This window comes from Homo sapiens, chromosome 7 (genome assembly GCF_000001405.40).
Source record: "Homo sapiens chromosome 7, GRCh38.p14 Primary Assembly".
Lineage (NCBI taxonomy): Eukaryota > Metazoa > Chordata > Mammalia > Primates > Hominidae > Homo > Homo sapiens.
The window spans coordinates 32,943,401-32,965,348 of NC_000007.14; the positions used below are offsets into that span (position 1 = coordinate 32,943,401).

At 46.0% G+C, this 21,948-nt stretch overlaps 1 protein-coding gene and 1 pseudogene across 4 annotated transcripts in view, besides 3 other annotated features; both read left to right on the top strand.

Moving 5' to 3' along the window:
- RPL7AP78 (ribosomal protein L7a pseudogene 78) lies at positions 8,026-8,256 on the top strand (annotated as a pseudogene).
- Positions 12,887-13,837: an enhancer, noted in NCBI's record as "H3K27ac-H3K4me1 hESC enhancer chr7:32995899-32996849 (GRCh37/hg19 assembly coordinates)". NCBI's record gives its function as "activates a minimal SCP1, AML or CMV promoter by ChIP-STARR-seq in primed H9 embryonic stem cells {active_cell/tissue: H9 hESC(primed)}" and the evidence as "EXISTENCE:reporter gene assay evidence [ECO:0000049][PMID:30033119]".
- Positions 13,687-13,736: an enhancer, noted in NCBI's record as "active region_25832". NCBI's record gives its function as "activates an Ori minimal core promoter by ATAC-STARR-seq in GM12878 lymphoblastoid cells {active_cell/tissue: GM12878}" and the evidence as "EXISTENCE:reporter gene assay evidence [ECO:0000049][PMID:35858748]".
- Positions 13,827-14,296: a silencer, noted in NCBI's record as "silent region_18084". NCBI's record gives its function as "represses an Ori minimal core promoter by ATAC-STARR-seq in GM12878 lymphoblastoid cells {active_cell/tissue: GM12878}" and the evidence as "EXISTENCE:reporter gene assay evidence [ECO:0000049][PMID:35858748]".
- The window catches only part of FKBP9 (FKBP prolyl isomerase 9), a 49,489-nt gene continuing 41,580 nt past the window's right edge, over positions 14,040-21,948 (top strand). For 2 of the 4 annotated variants that reach the window (NM_007270.5, XM_011515115.4), the window contains exon 1: positions 14,040-14,394. In NM_007270.5, the coding sequence (NP_009201.2) occupies positions 14,174-14,394 (221 nt within the window). In that variant the 5' untranslated portion in view covers positions 14,040-14,173. Of the gene's footprint in view, positions 14,395-19,704; positions 20,303-21,948 lie in introns of those variants that run through there. The other 2 variants (NM_001284341.2, XM_047419849.1) reach the window with 2 other exon arrangements.

Genomic DNA, 21,948 nt, shown 5'->3' on the forward strand with positions numbered 1-21,948 from the left:
GGGAGCTGCTCATTACATAGCAATAGGATTCAGCCATTTTTGGAAGAAAGCAATACTCTGCATATAAATTCTCCAATTTTCAGATCATATGATCCATGCTTAAAACATAGTCAATGTATATTGTATTTAGCAAGGTATAGGTTCTGGAGATGAAAATAAAAGCTACCATACACAGCACTTGTTATGTACCAATCAGCTAAACCCTTAATAAGAATGTCTTTAATCTTAAACTTGTGTTATTACCACCCTTATAGTGATCTACACATTCAGTGCAATCCCTGGCAAAATCCCACTGACTTTTTTTTTTACAGAAATAGGAAAACCAATCCTAAAATTCATATGGAATCTAAACGGACACCTTACCCTGGGCCTCTTACTTGTTTTGCAGCAAGTAGGTGCAAGTAGGTTAATGTGGCATATTACATTTATTGATTTGTGTGTGTTGAACCATCCTTGTATTCCAGGAATCAATTCCATTTGGTCATAGTGCATTACCCTGTTAATAAGGTATTCAACCTGTTTTCCTACCATTTTGTTGAGAATTTTTGCATTAATGTTGATAAGTGATTTGGGGGTGTAGTTTTCTTATAATGTCTTTGTCTGGCTTTGTATCAGGGTAATGCTAGCCTCAATATGAGATAGGAAGTTTTCCTTTCTCTTTAATTTTTTTGGAAATGATTGAAAAGAATTGGTGTTAGTTCTTTTTTTTTTTTTTTTTTTTAAGACAGAGTCTTGCTCTGTTGCCCAGGCTGGAGTGCAGTGGCGTGATCTCGGCTCACTGCAAGCTCTGCCCCCCGGGGTTCACGCCATTCTCTTGCCTCAGCCTCCCAAGTAGCTGAGACCACAGGCGCCCGCCACTGCACCCAGCCAATTTTTTGTATTTTTAGTAGAGACGGGATTCACCATGGTCTCGATCTCCTGACCTTGTGATCCGCCTGCCTCAGCCTCCCAAAGTGCTGGGATTACAGGCATGAGCCACTGCACTCGGCCAAACTGGTGTTAGTTCTTTAAATGTTTGGTAGAATTCACCAGTGAAGCAATTAGGTCCAGAGCTTTTCTTTGGTGGTAAATTTTATTTTTTATTTATTTTTAGAGACTTGCTAAAGTGGCTCATGCCTGTAATCCCAGCACTTTGGGAGGCTGAGGCGGGCAGATCACCTGAGGTCAGGAGTTCGAGACCAGCCTGACCAACATGGAGAAACCCCATCTCCACTAAAAATGCAAAAAATTAGCCGGGCGTAGTGGCACATGCCTGTAATTCCCAGCCACTCGGGAGGCTGAGGTAGGAGAATCGCTTGAACTCGGGAGGCGGAGGTTGCAGTGAGCCAAGATTGCGTCATTGCACTCCAGCCTGAGCAACAAGAGTGAAACTCCATCTAAAAAACAAAAGAAAGAAAGAAAAAAAAGGCAATAACTACAGTTACAAACCATTGTTACAATACTAGGTTTTATAATTACCCGACTATTTATCTTTATTGAGATCCTTATTTCTTCATATAGCTTCTGCTTACTGTCTAGTGTTCTTTTATTTCTTCTTTTTTTAAATTTATTTTTGTCTCATTTTTCCAAGAAAATCTCACTCTGTCACCCAGGTTGGAATGCAGTGGCTCAATCTTGGCTCACTGCAACCTCCGCCCCCAGGGTTCAAGCGATTCTTGTGCCTCAGCCTCCCAAATAGCTGGAATTACAGGCATATGCCACCACGCCCAGCTAATTTTTGTGTTTTTAGTAGAGACGGGGTTTCACCATGTTGGCCAGGCTGTTCTCAAACTCCTGACCTCAAGTGATCCACCTGCCTCGGCCTTCCAAAGTGCTGGGAATACAAGCATGAGCCACGGTGCCTAGCCTAGTGTTCTTTTATTTCAGCCTGTGGAACTCCCTTGAACATTTCTTTCAGGGCTTGTCTAATGGTAATAAACTTCTTTGGCTTTTGTTTATCTTGAAATGTCTCAATTTGTCCCTAATTTTTGAAGGACAGTCTTGCTCGATATAGGACATATGATTGATGGTTTTTCCTTTTAGCAATTTGAATATATTAGCCATGTGCCTTCTGGCCTCTAAAGTCTCTGATGAGAAATCTGCACATAATCTAATTATGGATCCCTTGTCAGATGAGTTGCTTCTCTTGCTGCTTTAAAGATACTCTCTTTGTCTTTGTCTTTCAAAAGTTTGACTATAATGTGTCTTGTTGTGAATCTCTTTGAGTTCATCTTAATTGGAATTTGTTGAACTTCTTGGATTTTTATATTCACGGATTTCATCAAATTTGAGAAGTTTTGGCCATTATTTATTTAAATAGTCTCTGTGCCCCTTTCTATTTCTTTCCTGTTTCCTGGACTCCCACAATGCATAAATTGGTTCACTTGATAATGTCCCATTGGTCCCTTAAGCTCTGTTCACTTTTCCTTCCCTTTTAACTTAATTTTTGTTGTTGTTGTTGTTGTTAGAAATGAAGTCTCACTATGTTGCCCAGGCCGATCCTCAGCAATCCTCCTGCCTCCTGAGTAACTGGAATTACAGTGTATTACAGGGATAGATCATGGCCAATTGCATGGAGATTGTCCATAAGAGCTGGCCAATTTTATGATTATTGGAAGACTTGCATCAGGATAAATAGCTGCTTTTTTTCCCTTTTAGAACATGATTCTTCTTGGATAATACGTTCACATTAATTTTCTATGAAGTGCCACTCTTTCTGAAATTCTTTTGTGATTCTATATACACCAACAGCATTCTCTGTTTTCGCATCTTCTGTGCCATGTTTCTATGTTGTTTGAGGTATACAGAAATCCGTTCCACATGCACTCATATACAGACCACAAATTTAGTGGAGACAGTATCACTGAACAGCAACACCATTGCATAAGTGTCTTCGTTGTTGTTGTTGTAGACAGGGGATCTCACTATGTTGCCCAGACTGGTCTCAAACTCTTGACCTCAGGTGATCCTCCTACCTTGGTCTCCCAAAGCAATGGAATTACATGAGCCACCATGCCTGGTCACATAAGTGTCTTTTTATCCTTCCATACACATAATTATTTTTGAACCAGTGAGAAACTTATCTGGCTTCTTCAGGCAAATGAAGCTTTAATTAAGAAAAAAAAAAAAAACAACTCCTGGAATGTCATCAGCCAGAAGGAATACCAATGCAGGAAAATGATGTGGTTTTGTTGTTGTTGTTTGGTTTTTTGTTGTTATTGTTTGTTTTTTTCTTGAGATGGAGTCTCACTCTGTTGCCCAGGCTGGAGTGCAGTGACATGATCTTGACTCACTGCAATCTCCGCCTCCCAGTTTCAAGCGATTCTCCTGCCTCAGCTGGGATTATAGACATGTACCACCACAACTGGCTAATTTTTGTGTTTTTAGTAGAGACAGGGTTTCACCATGTTGACCAGGCTGATCTTGAACTCCTGATGTCAGGTTATCTGCCCACCTCGGCCTCCCACAGTGCTGGCATCACAGATGTAAGCCACCATGCCTGGCCTTTTTTTTTTTTTTTTTTTTTGAGACAGAGTCTCACTCTGTTGCCCAGGTTGGAGTGCAGTAGCACAATCTCAGCTCACTGCAACCTCTGCCTCCTGGCTTCAAGTGATTCTCATGCCTCAGCCTCCTGAGTAGCTGGTACTACAGGCACACACCACCACTCCTGGCTAATTTTTGTATTTTTAATAGAGATGAGGTTTTGCCATGTTGGCTAGGCTGGTCTCCAACTCCTGACCTCAATTGATCTGCCTACCTCGGCCTCCCAAAGTGCTGGGATTACAGGTGTGAGCCACAGCACCTGGCCCTCTTTTTATATTTTTATATTTTCTATATTTTTTATATTTTTATATTTCTTAAAAAGGTGTTCAGTTAGACAATAATTTTAGCTATGCCAAGGCTGGAGTGCAGAGGCACGATCACAGCTCGTTCCAGCTTTGAATTCCTGGGCTCAAGCAATCCTCCTGCCTCAGCCACCCCAAGTGCTGGGATTATAAGCATGAACCCTTTTATTTAATTCCTTTAGGGTAAAAGAAAAGAAAGAAATTGTCCAGCCATAATCAGTGACCTTAGAGTCAGCAAGCAAGTAGTCTAAAAATGTTAAGATATAATTTTGTGCTGAAACCAATTGAGTCAGGTTTCTCTCACTTGCAATTGAAAGAGTTTTGACTGATTCAAATATTTGCCTTGTTAGATATACAACAACAGTGATTTATTTTCTCACCAAGAAGACCCAGGGATCAATATTTCCACTTAAGCAACTATGCATCAAGGCTCTTTTGAAAATAGCAATGGACCAAAATCCAAATCACGCTGTTTTAAGGAAAAAAAAAAGGAATTTATTGGCTCACATATGTGAAATGTCCACGGGTGAAGCTTCAGGAATGACTGTATCTAGGTGCTGAAATTATACAGTCAGCACTTTCTCCCTCTCTCAGCCTCACCTTCCTTTGTATTGATTTATTCTCATGTAGGTTCTCTCATTGTGGTGGCAAAGATGGACACTAGAAGGCATAGATGGCCACCAATTTAGCAGCCTCCACTGAAAGAAATCTTATTTCCAAAAAACTTAAACTATGCTCATTGACTCAGCAAACATCACGTAGCTCTGAAGGAAAAAAATCACTGTGGTCAGAGAGATGCGGTGCTCTTCATAGCAGCAGTAGGCAGACAAATGCCTAGGCAGATAGGGGCAGGTCCCTGGAGAAACCCCACCTACAAGCTGAAGACAGTGTAAAACCTGAAAGCCAAGCTATAAGTCAAATCTACGGATGAGATTGAGAATCTGTCTTCCCATTTGACATGCTTTCCTCTGATTGATTCTCCACCCTTCACCTATTTTACATATACCTACCCTTTCCTAATTGGTTTTCTACACTGCCATACCCACCTTTGAGGGGTGCTTTTGCTTTAGCCTTTCTTTGCGTACTCACAAACCAATCAGCATGCACTTCCCTATTCTGAGCTCATAAAAGCCCCAGACTCAGCCACACTGAGAGAGAAACCAACCGACGGGGGAGGGGGGTGAGCAGGAGGCCACCTCTGCATCCCCTCTCCGCTGAGAGCTATTCCATTGCTCAATAAAGTTCTTCTCCACCCTCCTCACCCTTCAATTGTCAGTGTATCCTTATTCTTCTTGGACATGGGACAGGAACTTAGGAACCACTGAATGTGTGTACATGCTGTAACACAGGAGAGCTGAGGCACACCTGGCCCAGCCACGGACTGAGCCAATGCACAAGCCAGACTTGGCTCAGGCAGACTGAGTAGGCAGGGCACCTCCTGCAGCAGGTAGCATGCCTGAGCAAGGCCCAGGTGGCAGTGGTACCAGCTGGAGGTCCCTAGCTGGCAAAATGACTGAGAAAAATCCTGCGTCACTCTGGCCAAGCCTAGGTTACATGCCTGCCATAATTACCAGGGGTGGAATCAGCTTTACCCCTGTCATGTAGACTGACAGTGGGGAAGGGGTAGTTCTGGAAACCAAAATCAATGTGCTATGACTTAAACAGAGAGAGACAGAGACAGAGACAGAGAGATAGAGAGAGAAAGACGGGGGATGCTGGGATGCTGGGTAGGAAATGTGCAGTTCAATAATCTGACAGGATCTGCATTCTAGTCATCTCTTCTTGATAATTATGTTCACCTAAAAGAAAGAAGCTGAGGCAAAATTAATATAAGTTAGAGAGTTTATTTGGGCCAGGCTTGAGGATTGCAACCTGGGGGCATAGATTCAAGTTGTCCTGAATATGCACTCCAATTAGCAGCAGTTAAAAGTGGATTTTTTTTTTTTGAGACAACATCTCGCTCTGTTGTCCAGGCTGGTGTGCAATGGTGTGATCATGGCTCACTTTAGTCTCAAACCTCCTGGGCTCAAGCAATTCTCCTGCCTCAGTCTCCCATGTAGCTGGGACCACAGGTGTGTGCCACCATGCCTGGATAATTTTTTAATATTTTGTAGAAATGGAGTCCCCCTATTTTGCTGGCCTCAAACTCCTGACCTCAAAGAATCCTCCTGCCTTAGCCTCCCAAAGTACTGGGATTACAGGCGGAAGCCCCCAAAACCAGCCAAAAGTGGATTTTTGAAAGTAAAAAGGTGGGGGCAGGTAGTAGGCTGATACAAAGTTGTTTGTCAAGAATTCTCACTGGCTTACAAAATTAACATTGATTAGTGATTAGCTATACATTATTTAACTATAGGGTGTGGGTTATAGTGTCCTGTGTGACATTATTAGGTTAATTTATTGCTACTTGTTGCAAGAGCAAGTAGTTTCTTTTCTTTCTTTTTTTTTTTTTTTGAGATGGCGTCTTGCTCTGTCACCCAGGCTGGAGTGCAGTGGCGCGATCTCGGCTCACTGCAAGCTCCGCCTCCCGGGTTCATGCCATTCTCCTGCCTCGGCCTCCTGAGTAGCTGGGACTACAGGCACCTGCCACCATGCCGGCTAATTTCTTTTTGTATTTTTTAGTAGAGACAGGGTTTCACTGTGTTAGCTGGGATGGTCTCAATCTCCTAACCTCGTGATCTGCCCACCTCGGCCTCCCAAAGTGTTGGGATTACAGGCGTGAGCCACCACCCCCAGCCAATAGCAAGTAGTTTCAAGAGATGAATACATAGTTCAAGGGGAAAGTAGAATGTGATTTGTGTTTTACTTCATGTCTGTCTTAGCCTGATAATTTAAAAGAATTGGCATTCCCGATATAAGAGTTTTTTTCTTTTCCCAATTTGTGTCTTAGAGCTGATAAAGCAGTGAAAATTCTTTTTGCCTTTATTTCCACCTGTTTATGTGAATCTAGGTTCATTACATATTTTGACACCAGACTGAGAAGTTTTTTTGATGGTGGGATGTGATGGCTCATGCCTGTGATCTCAGCAACTTTGGGAGGCTGAGGTGGGAGGACTGCTTGAGCCCATGAGGTCAAGGGTGCAGTTGGCCATGATCACCATCCAGCCTGGTGGCAGAGTGAAACTGTTTGAAAAAACAAAACAAAACAAAAAACAAAAAAAGAAAAAGAAATGTATTACTCACATTTTGAAGCTTTTGGGGAGAGCAGGTCAGGTGCCTCAGCCAGTCCAAAAATGGCTTCGACAAAGCAAAAGCAAGTGGCCCTGGGATTACTGCAGTTAGGGGTGGAACCTGGGTGAGCATTCCTGCACAAGGGCCCAGGTTTTGTGTGGCTTGAACTTCCGCCTACAGTGCCAAGGGAAGGAGTGCATGGGGTTTCTATTGGCTTATTCACATGTGGGGCAGAGGGAACCGTGGAAGTGGAGCTTGAAAGTTTTCAGTGGTAGAACACCAAAAATGCAGTCAGGTTCTTCATTATATGGGGTCACCTCTCAAATCCAGCCCAGTTTTCTGATACCAAGAGATTCGATGCAATAATATCCCGTCCATTAACCAATGGATGGTTATGGAATTCTTTCCCTGGTGATTACAACTTTAAAGCATTTTTTTAACCCATCATCATTTAGTTTATGCCTGTTTCATCTGGAAGGTTGTGCAGGCACAGTCCATTTCCAGAGAGAGAGTAAAGTGATTGTTAGCCAACCATAAACACATATGGAGGCACCCTTCACATTGTACTGTGGCACCTAGCCTACGCAAGTGAGGAACACTTCTGTTTGTACTCTCTCGCTGTCGTATTCTCCTGTCCATGAGCCCCTCGGTTTGTTTTTTAGTTTGTTCTTCTGCCCGTCCTAAGATACCAGATTCATTCTTGAGGCCAGCCAGGCGGCCTTGGTGTTGACCCAATAGTGGTGGGGCAGCTGCACGTGATCCTTAGCCTGTGTTACTGGACAGGTGTCAAACCTTTAAAGTAAAAACAAAATCCTAAACCCTGGCTGGGCCTGGTGCCTCATGCCTATAATGCTAGCAATTTGAGAGGTTGAAGTGGAAGGATCTCTTGAGCCCAGGAGTTGGAGACCAGCCTAGGCAACATAGTGAGATCTTATCTCTACTAAAAATTTTTTTTAAAAAATTAGCTGGGTATTAACTTTGAAATTTACTGCTTTTGGTCAAAATACACTCTTCAGCTAATGCTTTCTTCCAGCTGGTTGTCTTGTTGCCTGCCCTGTGCTGTAAAATGAGGGTCCCTTACTGCATTATCAAGGGGAAGGCAAGACTGGGACATCTAGTCCACCGGAAGACCTGCACCACTGTCGCCTTCACACAGGTGAACTCAGAAGACAAAGGCACTTTGGCTAAGCTGGCGGCAGCTATCAGGACCAATTACAATGACAGACATGATGAGATCCGCTATCACTGGGGCTGCAATGTCCTGCCAGATGTTCAAGTTAAGAGATGTCAAGGGCGTTGTTTTTTGATATGTGGCAGAAGACAATCTGCATCTTAGAACAAAGCCCATATACAAACATGCAGAAACAAGAAATGGAGACAGAGCATGTCAGCAAACAGCCATATTGGTTCTAGTGATTCCTGAACTCCTCCTAGGAGGGGAAACCTGGCCACTTCTTTGAATTGGATACAACCCCTCAATTGAGTGAAAACCTCTGGTATTCCTCAAATGATTTTTTTTAATTCCCTATGTGAAATTTGGAGTTCTGTTACTTGGTATCAAAAAACTTGGCCGGGCGCAGTGGCTCACGCCTGTAATCCCAGCACTTTGGGAGGCCGAGGCGAGTGGATCACGAGGTCAGGAGATCGAGACCATCCTGGCTAACACGGTGAAACCCCGTCTCTACTAAACACACAAAAAAATTAGCCGGGCGTGGTGGCGGGCTCCTGTAGTCCCAGCTACTCGGGAGGCTGTGGCAGGAGAATGGCGTAAACCTGGGAGGTGGAGCTCACAGTGAGCCGAGATCACGCCACTGCACTCCAGCCAGGGTGACAGAGCGAGACTCCGTCTCAAAATAAAAAAACAAACAAAAAACAAACTAAACCAAAACAACAACAAAACAAAACAAAATCATGCATCTCTTTAAATGCTGTAACAATGTACTTCATTGTCTTAATTTTCTTTTCTTTTTTTGAGGAAAATTGAGACCTTTTATTTTCTGAGAAACAATCTATAGATTGGGGAGGTGCAGCCTTTGGTACAAGTGAAAGTACACTCTCTATTTTCTTTTCTTTTTTATTTTTGAGACAGAGTCTTGCTCTGTCACCCAGGCTTGAGTGCAGTGGTGTGATCTGGACTCACTGTCACCTCCACCTCCCAGGTTCAAGTGATTCTCCTGCCTCAGCCTCCCCAGCAGCTGGAAATACAGGCGTGTGCTACCACACCTAGCTAATTTTTGTATTTTTAGTAGAGACAGGGTTTCACCATGTTGGCCAGGCTGGTCTCGAACTACTGACCTCCGGTGATCCACCTGCCTCGGCCTTTCAAAGTTCTGGGATTACAGGTGTGAGCCACCGCACCCAGCATATTTTATTTTCTTGATTACTAGTGAGGGTGAATATATTTATTTGTATTTCCTCTTTTCTGAAGTCTTCACCTGTGTATTCCGACTTCAGTTTTGTTGTACTGCTGCATAATATACCACCCCAGAGTTTAAAAACAACAATCTAATATGCTTACAAATTCTGTGGGTCAGGAATTTTGGCAGGATATAGCAGTCATGGCTTTGTCTGCTACATTATTTTTACTGCTCAAATGGCTGGGCTGACTTGAACATATGGCAGATGGCTAATCCAGGGGCTGCTTTACTCACATTTTTGCTGCCTATGCTGGGATGGCTGAGGTATGGGCTCAGGTGTGAATGTCAATCACAGAGTCTGCCTGTGACCTCCCCAGCATGGAGGACTCTAGGTAGTGGGACTTCTTACAGGGATCAGGACTTAAGGGGCAAGTGTTCCAGTGAACCAGGTGGAAACAACATGGCCTTTTATAATCTAGCCCAGAAGTCACGGCCCACCAGTTAGACTGTATTCTATTGGTCAGCACAGCTGCGGGCCTATCCAGATTCAACAGGATAATCATAAACTCCACTTCTAAATGGGAGGAGCCTCAAAGAATTTCAGGCCAACACAGATGGGGTGTTCACTTATGCTTACACATTTGTTTTGTCATATAGTTGTAAGGGTTTTTTTGTTTGTTTGTTTTGAGACAGAGTCTCACTCTGTTGCCCAGGCTGGAGTGCAGTGGTGTGATCTGGGCTCACTGCAACCTCCGTCCCTGGGGTTCAAGTGATTCTCCTGCCTCAGCCTCCCGAGTAGCTGGGATTACAGATGCCTGCCACCACGCCCAGCTAATTTTTGTATTTTTAGTAGAGACGGGGTTTCACCATCTTGGCCAGGCTGGTCTTGAACTCCTGACCTCATGATCCACCCGCCTCAGCCTCTCAAAGTGCTGGGATTACAGGCGTGAGCCACCATGCCTGGCCGTAAGTTGTTTTTTTTTTTTTTTTTTTTTTTTTTTTGAGATGGAGTCTTGCTCTGTCGCCAGGCTGGAGTGCAGTGGTGCGATCTCAACTCACTGCAAGCTCCCCTTCCCGGGTTCACGCCATTCTCCTGCCTCAGCCTCCTGAGTAGCTGGGACTACAGGCGCCCGCTACCACGCCCGGCTAATTTTTGTATTTTTAGTAGAGATGGGGTTTCACCGTGTTAGCCAGGATGGTCTCGATCTCCTGTCCTCGCGATCCGCCCGCCTCGGCCTCCCAAAGTGTTGGGATTACAGGCGTGAGCCACAGCGCCTGGCCAAGTATTTTTTTAATTTATCATTTGTCTTTAAAAAATTTGTGACATTTTTTAATAGCAAGATTTTTTTTTTCTTTTTTGAGACAGAGTCGTGGTATGTTGCCCAGGCTGGACTTGAACTTCTGGGCTCAAGAGATCCTCCCACCTCAGGCTCTCAAGTAGTTAGGACTACAGGCTCCTAGATCCTGCCACCACGAGCAGACATTCATTTTTATTTTATTTTATATATATTTTTAGACAGGCTCTCACTCTGTCACCTAGGCTGGAGTGCAGTGGTGTGATCACAATTCATTGCAGCCTCCATCTTCTAGGTTGAAGATGATCTTCCACCTCAGCCTCCGAAGTAGCTGAACGGGGACTACAGGTGCAGGCCGCCCTGCTCTACCTTTTTTTTTTTTTTTTTTTTTTTTTTTTGAGACAAAGTCTCTCTCTGTCACCCAGGCCAATTGTGCAGTGGTGAAATCATGGCTCACTGCAGCCTCAACATCCAGGGCTCAAGCGATCCTCCAACATCAGCTTCCCAAATAGCTGGGACTACAGGCACACACCACCACATCTGGCTAATTTTTGTTTGGTTTTTGTTTTTCTTTTTGAGACAGGGTATCACTCAGTTGCCCAGGCTGGAGTTTATTTTTTCTGTAAAGTAGTGATTACACCTATGACCTTATACAGAGTTGTCATGAAGATTGGACTTCTTGGCATCTAGTTCAAAAGATCAAGTTTCAAATCCCAAGTCTTTACCAATTAATATGTATTGTATGTTTAGCGTCTGAGCCTAGAAACTAATTCAGCACCAAGATATTTCCCCAAATTGCCGTAAGAGGTCAGTAGGCAAGATAAGTATCATCTGTTTTACAGTCAAGGGTGGAAGTAAGAAGTTACCTGACTTGCCTGAAGCCACGGAGACATAAGTGAAGCAAAGACTGGACCAAAGTATATGTGTAGTGAATGAACTGAATGTCTGAATTCATGCCAATAAAATGTATAACAATTTTTATTATCAATGATTATATACTTCAAAATCAAGGTATTGTTTGACAACACAAAGATGACATGCAAAAGTACTTTTTGGTGGTCAGTGCCATTAATAGACTTAATAGACTACAATCAGAAAGTTTTTTCTTTTTTTTTTTTTTTTTTTTTTGAGATAGAGTTTTGCTCTGTCACCCAGGCTGGAGTGCAATTGTGCGATCTTGGCTCAGTGCAACCTCTGCCTCTGGGGTTCAAGCGATTCTCCTGCCTCAGCCACCGGAGTAGCTGGGATTATAGGCATGCAACACCACACCTAGCTAATTTTTGTACTTTTAGTAGAGACGGGGTTTCACCAGGTTGCCCAGGCTGGTCTCAAACTCCTGAGATCAAGCAATCTGCCCCCCTTGGCCTCCCAAAGTGCTGGGATTACAGGGGTGAGTAATTTTTGTATTTTTTCGTAGAGGTGGGGTTTTGCCATGTTGCCCAGGCTGGTCTCAAACTCCTGGGCTCAAGTGATACTCCTGCCTCGGCCTTCTAAAGTGCCAGGATTACAGAAGTGAGCCACCAGGCCCTCTGTTTGTTTTCAAAATCAGAGGTAGATGTTGAATTTTATCTCATGCCGTTTTGAGTCTATGGCCACATGATCTTAGAGCTTTTTTTCCCTTCTTCTGTCCTATAATTTTATTAATAGGTGTTCTATTTCTAGAATAAGCTCTAAGATGAACAATGAACATTTTTCTTGTTATTCATGTAGTTTCTCATTCGATCCCTGAAACCTAAGATTATAGTAATCTTATAATGATTGTTTTATCTTCATCTTACAGAGAACACTGACATTTTGTTAATTTACAGAAGCTCACCTAGGTAGCCCATGTAATGGTATATTTTTCCTTTAACATACCGTTTTTTAAATTTTTTATTTATTTTTTTTTTGAGGCAGAGTCTCACTCTGTCGCCTGGGCTGGAGTGCAGTGGTGCAATTTAGTGGCACAATCTCGGCTCATTGCAACCTTCGACTCCCAGGTTCCAGCAATTTTTCTGCCTCAGCCTCCCAAGTAGCTGGGACTACAGGCCGTGCCACCACACCCTGCTAATTTTTGTATTTTTAGTAGAGCCAGGGTTTCACCATGTTGGACAGGCTGGTCTTGAACTCCTGACTTCAGGTGATCCAACCACCTCGGCCTCCCAAAGTGCTAGGGTTACAGGTGTGAGCCACTGCGCCTGGCCTAATATGCGGTTGAATCCGATTTTATTACGTTTTATTCAGTATTTTTGCATTTATATTTATAAATTAGATCGTGCCCTGTTTTTTCAGTTTTATTTTTCTTTTTTGTTGCTCTCTTTGCCAGGTTTTGGTATCAGAATTGTGTTTGCTTCCAAAACGAGTTGAGAAAGAGTTGGTGATTTGCTTTCATTATTCCAAAATTTTAATAAATTATAACACCCAATTCCAATTCCAAGTGCATCTGATTACTCTAATGGATTCCTGTGGCTTCTGGGTCTCTATGATGAAGTCCTCCCTGGCATAGGCTCGTATATGGGAGCTTGTAGGATGTCTGCAAGTATCAGCTCACAGTGCGGCCGCTGATGGCTTGGAGGACCCTCACGGTGCCTTAAAACTTTTGCCTAGACAAGTGTCACGGGAGCCTCTCGCAATACATGCCTCCCTTTTCTTTTTTTGGAGACAGTGTCTCGTACTGTCGCCAGGGCTGGTGTGCAGTGGCGCGATCTCGGCTCGCTGCAACCTCCGCCTCCCGGGTTCCAGCGATTCTCCTACCTCAGCCTCCCGAGTAGCTGGGACTACAGGCACGCGCCACCAAGCCTGGCTAATTTTTTTGTATTTTTAGTAGAGACGGGGTTTCATCATGTTGGCCAGGATGGTCTCCATCTCCTGACCTCGTGATCCGCCTGCCTTGGCCTCCCAAAGCGTTGGGATTACAGGCGTGAGCCACGGCGCCCGGCCTTCCTTTTCCTTTAAGCAGTATTAAAAAAAAAAAAAAAAAGTCCTGAAGGATGGTTTCGGTCTCTTTCAAGGTAGACCATACCCTTGTAACTAAGCTTAAAAAATTAAAATCTAATTTTCCCTCCCTCTCCAAAGCAGCAAGGGAAAATTGGATCCACGGCCACGTAGGAGCCCCTCACGGCACCAAACCCGGTGTCTCCAGGGACGGGCGGAGACCAGCGGGTGGGCTTGGGCAGTACGCGCTTTTCTCTTCCGACTTTGGGCCAAAGCCTTGTCCGGAGATCACAGTGTCTCGCTCGGGGACACGCCCTCTCTAGGCCCAGACTTGGTCCCCACTGGAGTTCCCAGCCCCCCTCCCCGCTGCGGCACGCACATTCCCAATGCCGGGCGGGGCAGGGCGCAGCAGGCCCGCCCTCGGCGCGCGGCCAGGCTGGGCTCCTCCCCTGGAGCTGCGGCCGGGAGGGCGGGCGGCCGGGGAGACGGGGTGGCGGCTGCAGCCCGGGTAGGGCCAGGAGACCCGGTCCACGTTTGCAAACGCAGCCGAACGCCCAGGCCGACCCGTGCCGCCCGAGCGCCGCGCTGCGTCCGCGCCACTCTTCTCGCCGCCCCGATGGCGTTCCGGGGCTGGAGGCCCCCGCCGCCACCGCTGCTCCTGCTGCTGCTCTGGGTGACCGGGCAGGCAGCGCCCGTGGCGGGCCTGGGCTCCGACGCGGAGCTGCAGATCGAGCGGCGCTTCGTGCCCGACGAGTGCCCGCGCACCGTGCGCAGCGGCGACTTCGTGCGCTACCACTACGTGGGGACGTTCCCCGACGGCCAGAAGTTCGACTCCAGGTACCGCGCCCTTGGCGCCCGGCGCGGCCTCAGCGGATGCGCGTCCCTCTCTCCGGACAGGCCTTTCCCTCCTGCCGGACCTCCCCTAGCTCCGCCCCGTGCAGCCGCGCTCCTCCCTTCTTCCGCTGCCCAGATCCTCCCGGACCCCAGACCCTCCGCCGCGGGTGAGCCTCCCGGCCCTCACGTGCCCTAGGCTGCCAGCCGGGGACTGGACCCTTGGAGGACCTTGAGCAGCGGGGTTGGGGCAGACCACGTCCTCCCTTTCCTCCCAGCGCATGGACACACGCAAAATCAGTGTAAAATAATCAGTGTAAGTGGAGGCCACGTTGCACAACTGGACCCCCAAGAGTGGATGTTCGTGCCTGCCTCTCTTCGCCCTTTCCTGTTCCTTCCCTCCGCTCCCTTGGGAATCTAGTCAGATGGTGCTTCTCACACAGAACAATGATGAAGAGGCTAGCAGCCCCAAACATACAATGAGCTGTTAACAATGTGTAGGTGTAGTTCTAAGTACTTTCCATATTGTAGTGAACTCATTTAATTGTACAGCAGTCTTGTGAGGTAGGTACTATCACTACCCTCATTTTATCAGTAAGGTAACAAGCAACTGCGGCTAAGAAACGTGTTTAAACAATGGAGTCAGATTGTTTAATCCAACTCCAGAGTCTGTGTGCGCAACTACCACTGCCCTTCCTTTCCTGCCATACAAAAACCTCTCTTGGGGCTGGGCGTGGTGGCTCACGCCTGTAGTCCCAGCACTTTGAGAGAACGAGGCGGGAGGATCGCTTGAGCCCAGGAGTTTGGGGCTGCTGTGAGCTATGATCGTGCCATTGCACTGCAGCCTGGGAGACAGAGAGAGATCCCATCACAAAACAAAACACAACACGACACCTCTCGTGGGCAGGAGGTAGTCCAGGACCGTCACTCTGCTTTATACCAGGCCCTATATCAAGCCCAGAACTCCTTCTCTCAGCTCTGCCTCAGGATCACAGCACTGCTCTCCCGTTTCCCTCCAGTTTAGGTTCGGGGTTAACAGGCCTCTCTTCGTCCAGCACCAGGCTACTCCTCGCCAAGGCTTTTGTTACAAACCCTGGTCTGTGCCAGCACTTCCCTTCGCGAACACTAGATCAGGCAGAGAGAGCTATTTGTTGAGCCCCTGCTATGTGCCCCAAGGCCTAGGGTCATTACGAATATTTTGTAGACTCTTGACTTTTTTGAAGTTCCAGACAATGAATATACAAAAGCTGTTCAGCATAGTATGTGGCACTAGCAAGCGCTTAGAAATGGTCATTCTTACTACCATTTTAGTTACTTTAAAAAAAAAAAACAACAGGCCGGGCGCGGTGGCTCACGCCTGTAATCCCAGCACTTTGGGAGGCCGAGGCGGGCGGATCACGAGGTCAGGAGATCGAGACCATCCTGGCTAACACGGTGAAACCCGGTCTCTACTAAAAATACAAAAAATTAGCCGGGCGAGGTGGCGGGCGCCTGTAATCCCAACTACGCGGGAGGTTGAGACAGGAGAATGGCGTGAACCTGGGAGGCGGAGCCTGCAGTGAGCCGAGACGTGCCACTGCACTCCAACCTGGGTGACAGGGAGACTCCGTCTCAAAAAACAAAACAAAACAAAAAACAAAAAACGAAACAAAAAAAACAGCTTTATTGAGATATAATGCCATACAATTTGCCCATTTGGTGTGTACAATTCAGTGTTTTTTAGTATATTCACAGAGTAGTGCAAACATCACAACTAGCTATTTCCAGAACATTTTCATCACCCCCAAAAAAGAAACGCTGGACCCATTATCAGTCACTCCCCAACCCCAGTTAGACTGCCCTCCAGTCCCTTTCAGCCACGAATCCACTTTATGTCTCTATGGATTTGCCTCTTCTGGACATTTTGTATAAATGGAATCATATAATTTGAGGTGCTTTGTTATTTATTTATAATTGGCTTCTTTCATGGTTCATTTACGGTGTAAGGTATATCAGTACTTCATTCCTTTTTGTGGCTGTATATGTAATATTCCATTGTGTCCATTCATCAGTTGATGGACATTTGGATTGCTTATACTTTTTGGCTATCATGAATGATGTTATGAACATTCATGTGCAAGGTTTTGTGTGGATGTACCTTTTCCTTTTTTTGGATATATACCTAGGAGTTGGAATTGCTGCGTCCTATGGCACCTATGTTATAAACGTTTTGAAGAATAGCCAACCTGTTTCCCCACAATGGCTGCACCATTTTACATTCCCACCAGCAGTGTATGAAGGTTCATAGTTCTCCACGGTCTCAACAACACTTGTACTTGTCTTTTTTTTTTTTTTTTTTTTTGAGATGGAATTTTGCTCTTGTCACCCAGGCTGGAGTGCAATGGTGCGATCACAGCTCACTGCAACCTCCCTGCCTCCCGGGTTCAAGCAATTCTCTTACCTCAGCCTCCTGAGTAGCTGGGATTACAGGTGCCTGCCACCACGCCTGGCTAATTTTTGTATTTTTAGTAGAGACGAGGTTTCACCATGTTGGCCAGGCTGGTCTTGAACTCCTGACCTCAGGTGATCTGCCCACCTCGGCCTCCCAAAGTGCTGGGATTACAGGCGGGAGCCACCACGCCTGGCCTGTGTCTTTGATTATAACCATTTAGTGGGTGTGAAATGATATCTCATTGTGGTTTCGATCTGCATTTCTCTAATGGCTAACGATGTTGAGCATCATATGCGTATTGACCATTTGTGTATCTTCTTTCATGTGCTTCTTTCATAGGGAAGAATTTCTTGCTTGAGTTGATGGTAATTAATTCCAGTAGAACAAGTTGTCCTACTATCTAGAACATCTCTAGGGCTGGCAGCCACTGTGAGGTAGTGTAGGGCAGTTGAAAGAGCATGGAGGATCTACCATCCATTCATCAAACGTTTTTCAGCGTCTATCCCTCAAGAGAGAGACTAGTCCTAGTCTAGTATGCTTCTTCCCCATCCCTACCACTTACAGCCTAGGCTATTACAACATGGTGTGATAAGTACAGTAAGACAGTAGCACACACTCTGTCTCTCATAGAGTTCACACATAGTTCTTACCATGTGCCTTCACATATGTTAACTCATTTAATCTTAGAATAATTTGTTTAACTTCTCAAGACAGTGAGGTAGGTACCTCATTACAAATGAATAAACTGAGGCTCAGAAAGTTCAAATGATTTGCCCAAGGAACATAAGTACTAAGTGGTTGAGTGGAGATTTGAACCCAGGTAGTTCATGGCCATAATCTATGGTCTGTAGTCCACCCATGTATATGACAGAAGAAAGGTAAGTAGCTATGAAAGCACAGAGAAGGTTTAACTATATATTTTTGTGTCTGTGTGTGGGGGAGGTTAGGATGGAATCCTGGTATGGCAGGGATAAGACCCAAGGATGATGAAAATTCACCTGGGAGGAGCTCAGGGGTGTGTCTGCAGACCCCAAGGTCCAGGCTTGTCTTTTGATAAATATTATTATGTGCCTACCACATACCTTTTTGGGTATACAGAGTTCTAGATGCTCTAGCACAGTAGTGTTTAAACTACATATACTTCTGAATCACGTAGAGAGCTTGTTATACAGTTTCCGATTCAGTAGCTCTGGGATAGGGCCTAGGAATTTGCTTTTCTGACAAGTTCCCAGCTGATGCTACTGGTCTGAGGACCACACTTTGAGAACCACTGCTCTAAAACAGGGGTACTGAAATGGGATATCAATTTACAAAAATAAATAAATAGTAAATAAATAAATAGAACAGGGGTCCCTAACCCCTGAGCCATGGACCTGTTGTGGTCTGTGGCCTGTTAGGAACCGGGCTGCACAGCCGGAGGTGAGCAGCAGGTGAGCAAGCAAAGCTTCATCTGTATTTACAGTGTCTCCGCATTGCTCACATCACTGCTTGAGCTCGGCCTCCTGTCAGATCAGGAGGGGCATTAGATTCTCACAGGCACATGAACCCTATTGTGTACTGCACATGGGAGGGATCTAGGTTATGTGCTCCTTATGAGAATCTAATGCGTGATGATCTGTCACTGTCTCCCATCACCCCTAGATGGGACCATCTAGTTGCAGGAAAACAAGCTCAGGGCTCCCACTGATTCTACATTATGGTGAGTTGTATAATTATTTCATTATATATTACGGTGTAATAATAATGGAAATAAAGTGCACAATAAATTTGATGTATCTGAATAATCCCAAAACCATCCCCCCACCCCGGTCATGGAAAAAGTGAATTCCTTTCATGAAACTGGTCCTTGGGGCCAAAAAGGTTGGGGACCACTGCTCTAAAAGAATCACAGACTCAGCCAGGCACGGTGGCTCATGCCTGTAATCCCAGCACTTTGGGAGGCCAAGGCGGGCAGATCACCTGAGGGAGTTGGAGACCAGCCTGACCAACATGGAGAAACCCCGTCTCTACTAAAAATACAAAAAATTAGCTGGGTGTGGTGGCGCATGCCTGCAATCCCAGCTACTCGGGAGGCTGAGGCAGGAGAATCGCTTGAACCTGGGAGGTGGAGGTTGCGGTGAGTCGAGATTGCACCACTGCACTACAGCCTGGGCAACGAGAGCTAAACTCCTTCTCAAAAACTAACTAACTAAATAAAAGAATCATGAACTCAATAACAGGGGTCAACTTCATTTTGTATATTCATTCATTTATTCATTCTTTTCTTTTTTTTGAGACAGCGTCTCACTTTGTTGCCCAGGCTGGTGTGCAGTGATGCAGTCTCACATCACTGCAGCCTCTGCTTCCTGGGTTCAAGCAATTCTTGTGCCTCAGCCCCCTGAGTAGCTGGGATTACAGGTGTGCAACACCACACCTGGCTAATTTTTGTATGTTTAGTAGAGATGGGGTTTCGCCACCTTGGCCAGGCTGGAATTCATTTATTCATCCAACAGATATTTACTGAGTACCAACTCTTGCAGGTGCCAAGGATGTAACAGTGAATAAAACAGAAATCTCTGCCCTCATGGAGCTTACATACTAGTGAGAGGACAGGCATACTCTTAAGTTATATGGTAAAGTAGAAGTTGGTGAGGACTATGGAGAAAAAGCAGTAGGAGTGAGGGGTGGGAGGGTGGGGCGACAGGCTCAGAAAGGTGAGAGGACAGTGGCCACCCAGCTAATATAACTGACCTTCAGATTCTGGACTGGGGAGCTCTCATGCCTCACACAAAGCAGCCAGCATGCAGTGAGTGCCTTGTGAGTATTATGCATAGATACCTCTACCCGTTCCAGGGAAGGAAGGATTTCTTCTTGCTGAAGCCATATGAAAGGCTTTGAGGAGGAGCTGATGCTTGAGTTGGGCCTTGAGCATGGATGGGATTTCATTCCTTGAAGCGGGGAGTGTGTTTAAGAGAGTGGATGGGGTGGACCAGAGTCTGGGCCTGAGTAGTGCATGCTCAAGGAACAGTGAGAGGCTCCAATATTTGGGTCAGGAGGCAGGGGACCTGGCACTGGAAGGGTGTGGGAGAACCCAGTCCTTGGGAGGCCTGGGTGGCTGAGCTAGGTGTTGTGGACTTTGGTATTTTTTTTTTTCATCCCATGGATTCAAGTTGCCCTGAATATATGCTTCTGTTCAGAATCTTGTGAAGGGAAGGTTTTTGTTCAGAGGAGTAAGGGGATTGAGGTGCTCAGTGGATGGACTGATAGTGTAAGTAGAAATTCTAGAGATCAGCCTCATTGGGGCTTCATTTTACACAGGGATTCATCCAGCTTCTAACATTCCAGGTACTGGGATACAGCGGAGGATAAAGCTGACAAAAGTCCCTGCCCTCAAGTCAGGGTTGGGGTGAACACAAGCCCGTCCTGCAGACTTAAGCAGAAAGGAGTGGGAATTTATTGGAAGGATCTCCAATTCCTTGTGAGGGTCCAGAATCATGGACTGAGGTGACTTTCTGCCTCTCTCCAAGGGGTTGCAAACGGGGCTTCATTCTCTCCCACTAGAAAAAGAGTGCTCCAATAAGCTCCCCATGCTGCACACATGACCTCTGGGATCCAGCACCAGCGCCGACAAACTGGACTTTCTCACTTCTAGGTTTCCAGGAAATAATCTGATGGGTCCTGCTTGGGGCAGGTGTCTACCCTATTGGGTGTTAAGTCACATGGTCCTAAGTGGGGGCCCAGGCTCACCCTTTCAGCAGGACTGGTCCACAGGGAAGAGCCAGTAGGCTGGACAGCAGCCAGGATGCAGTCAGGGGGGCCTGACAGGGTCAGTGGTGTCAGAACAACTGGCCAGGTCAGGACATGCTAACTTAGGAGTTGTTTAGAGTGTGACTGCACATTGCAGCTCTTTTTATGGAGAAGGAGAGTGCTGAAACGGAGGCTGCTACCGTGCATTAGCCCTGTGCGTTTCTGCTAACTAGGGGAAGATCCTAGCTACTTCTCACTGTGGTCTCCTGAGGCCATTGGCAGCTGGCCAAGCACCCCTGGTGAAGACTTATTAGCGTGGCTTTGAATTTTCATTTGTGGGTCATTGCGAGCAATTACACATTTATATTAACAATTTAATTTGGCTGTATGGTATTTTACTGGGCTAAGCCCTGTGAAAAATGGGAATCATCTATAGGGATCTGACATTTTAATTTGTGCAGTTGCTTAAAAACAAAAATCCATAACAGCAATGGATTTTGCTTTGCTTTGCAAAGTTTTTCATTTAATGATGTTTTAATGGGTCAAAGCCCATCCAAGCCAACAGCTCATGTTTCAGGGTCTGATTCTCTGAGGAGCTATGAATGGAGGCGTTCTCTTTCATTTCTTCTCTGTTCCCGCTTGCTCCCTCTCTCCTCCCTCACCTCCTCTAACCTTCCTCCTCTGCAGCGTTCTCACACTTTCCCGTCTGGGTAGTTTGCCAGTTCATTAACTGCTTTTCTTTTCTCCCTGGCATGTCTCATTAGCTACTGGTAGAGATGGCTGTTTGAGGGAAATAGTCTTAGGCAAAGGGTCCAGAAAGCCCAGAGTCCCCTTTGGGAGTGAATGTGTGGAGAGGGAGGTGTTAGGCAGAAAAGCCAAACTCTGCCTCCCTGCTTTCAAGTCTGCAGTAAGATCAGTCTCAGTGGTGAAACTCAGCCAGCAGAGGGGGTGAGTCTCAGCTGGGAGCTAGGCGGCCAGTGGGGAGGTGAGTTTCAGTCCCATTCGTGAAGGGTGGTGGCAGGACCACAGTCCAAACGTCAAGCAGGTCCCCTGTGAGTCAGCCATCTGAGTTGGCCCAAGTGAGACAGGACCAACTTTGAGGCCCCCAAAGGGTAGTTCCCGTGCCCAGTGGACTTGTTCTTCCTTACTTTGCCTCCCTTCTGTTATGGGTTCTCAAAATATGGCAGTCTTTTTTTTAATTTCTTTCTTTTTGAGACAGGGTCTCACTCTGTTTCCCAGGCTGGAGTGCAGTGGTGCTCACAGCAACCTCTGCCTCCTGGGTTCAAGCAATTCTCATGCCTCAGCCACCCGAGTAGCTAGGATCACAGGTGTATGCTACCACACCTGGCTAATTTTTGTATTTTTGGTAGAGACAAGGTTTTGCCATGTTGCCCAGGCTGGTC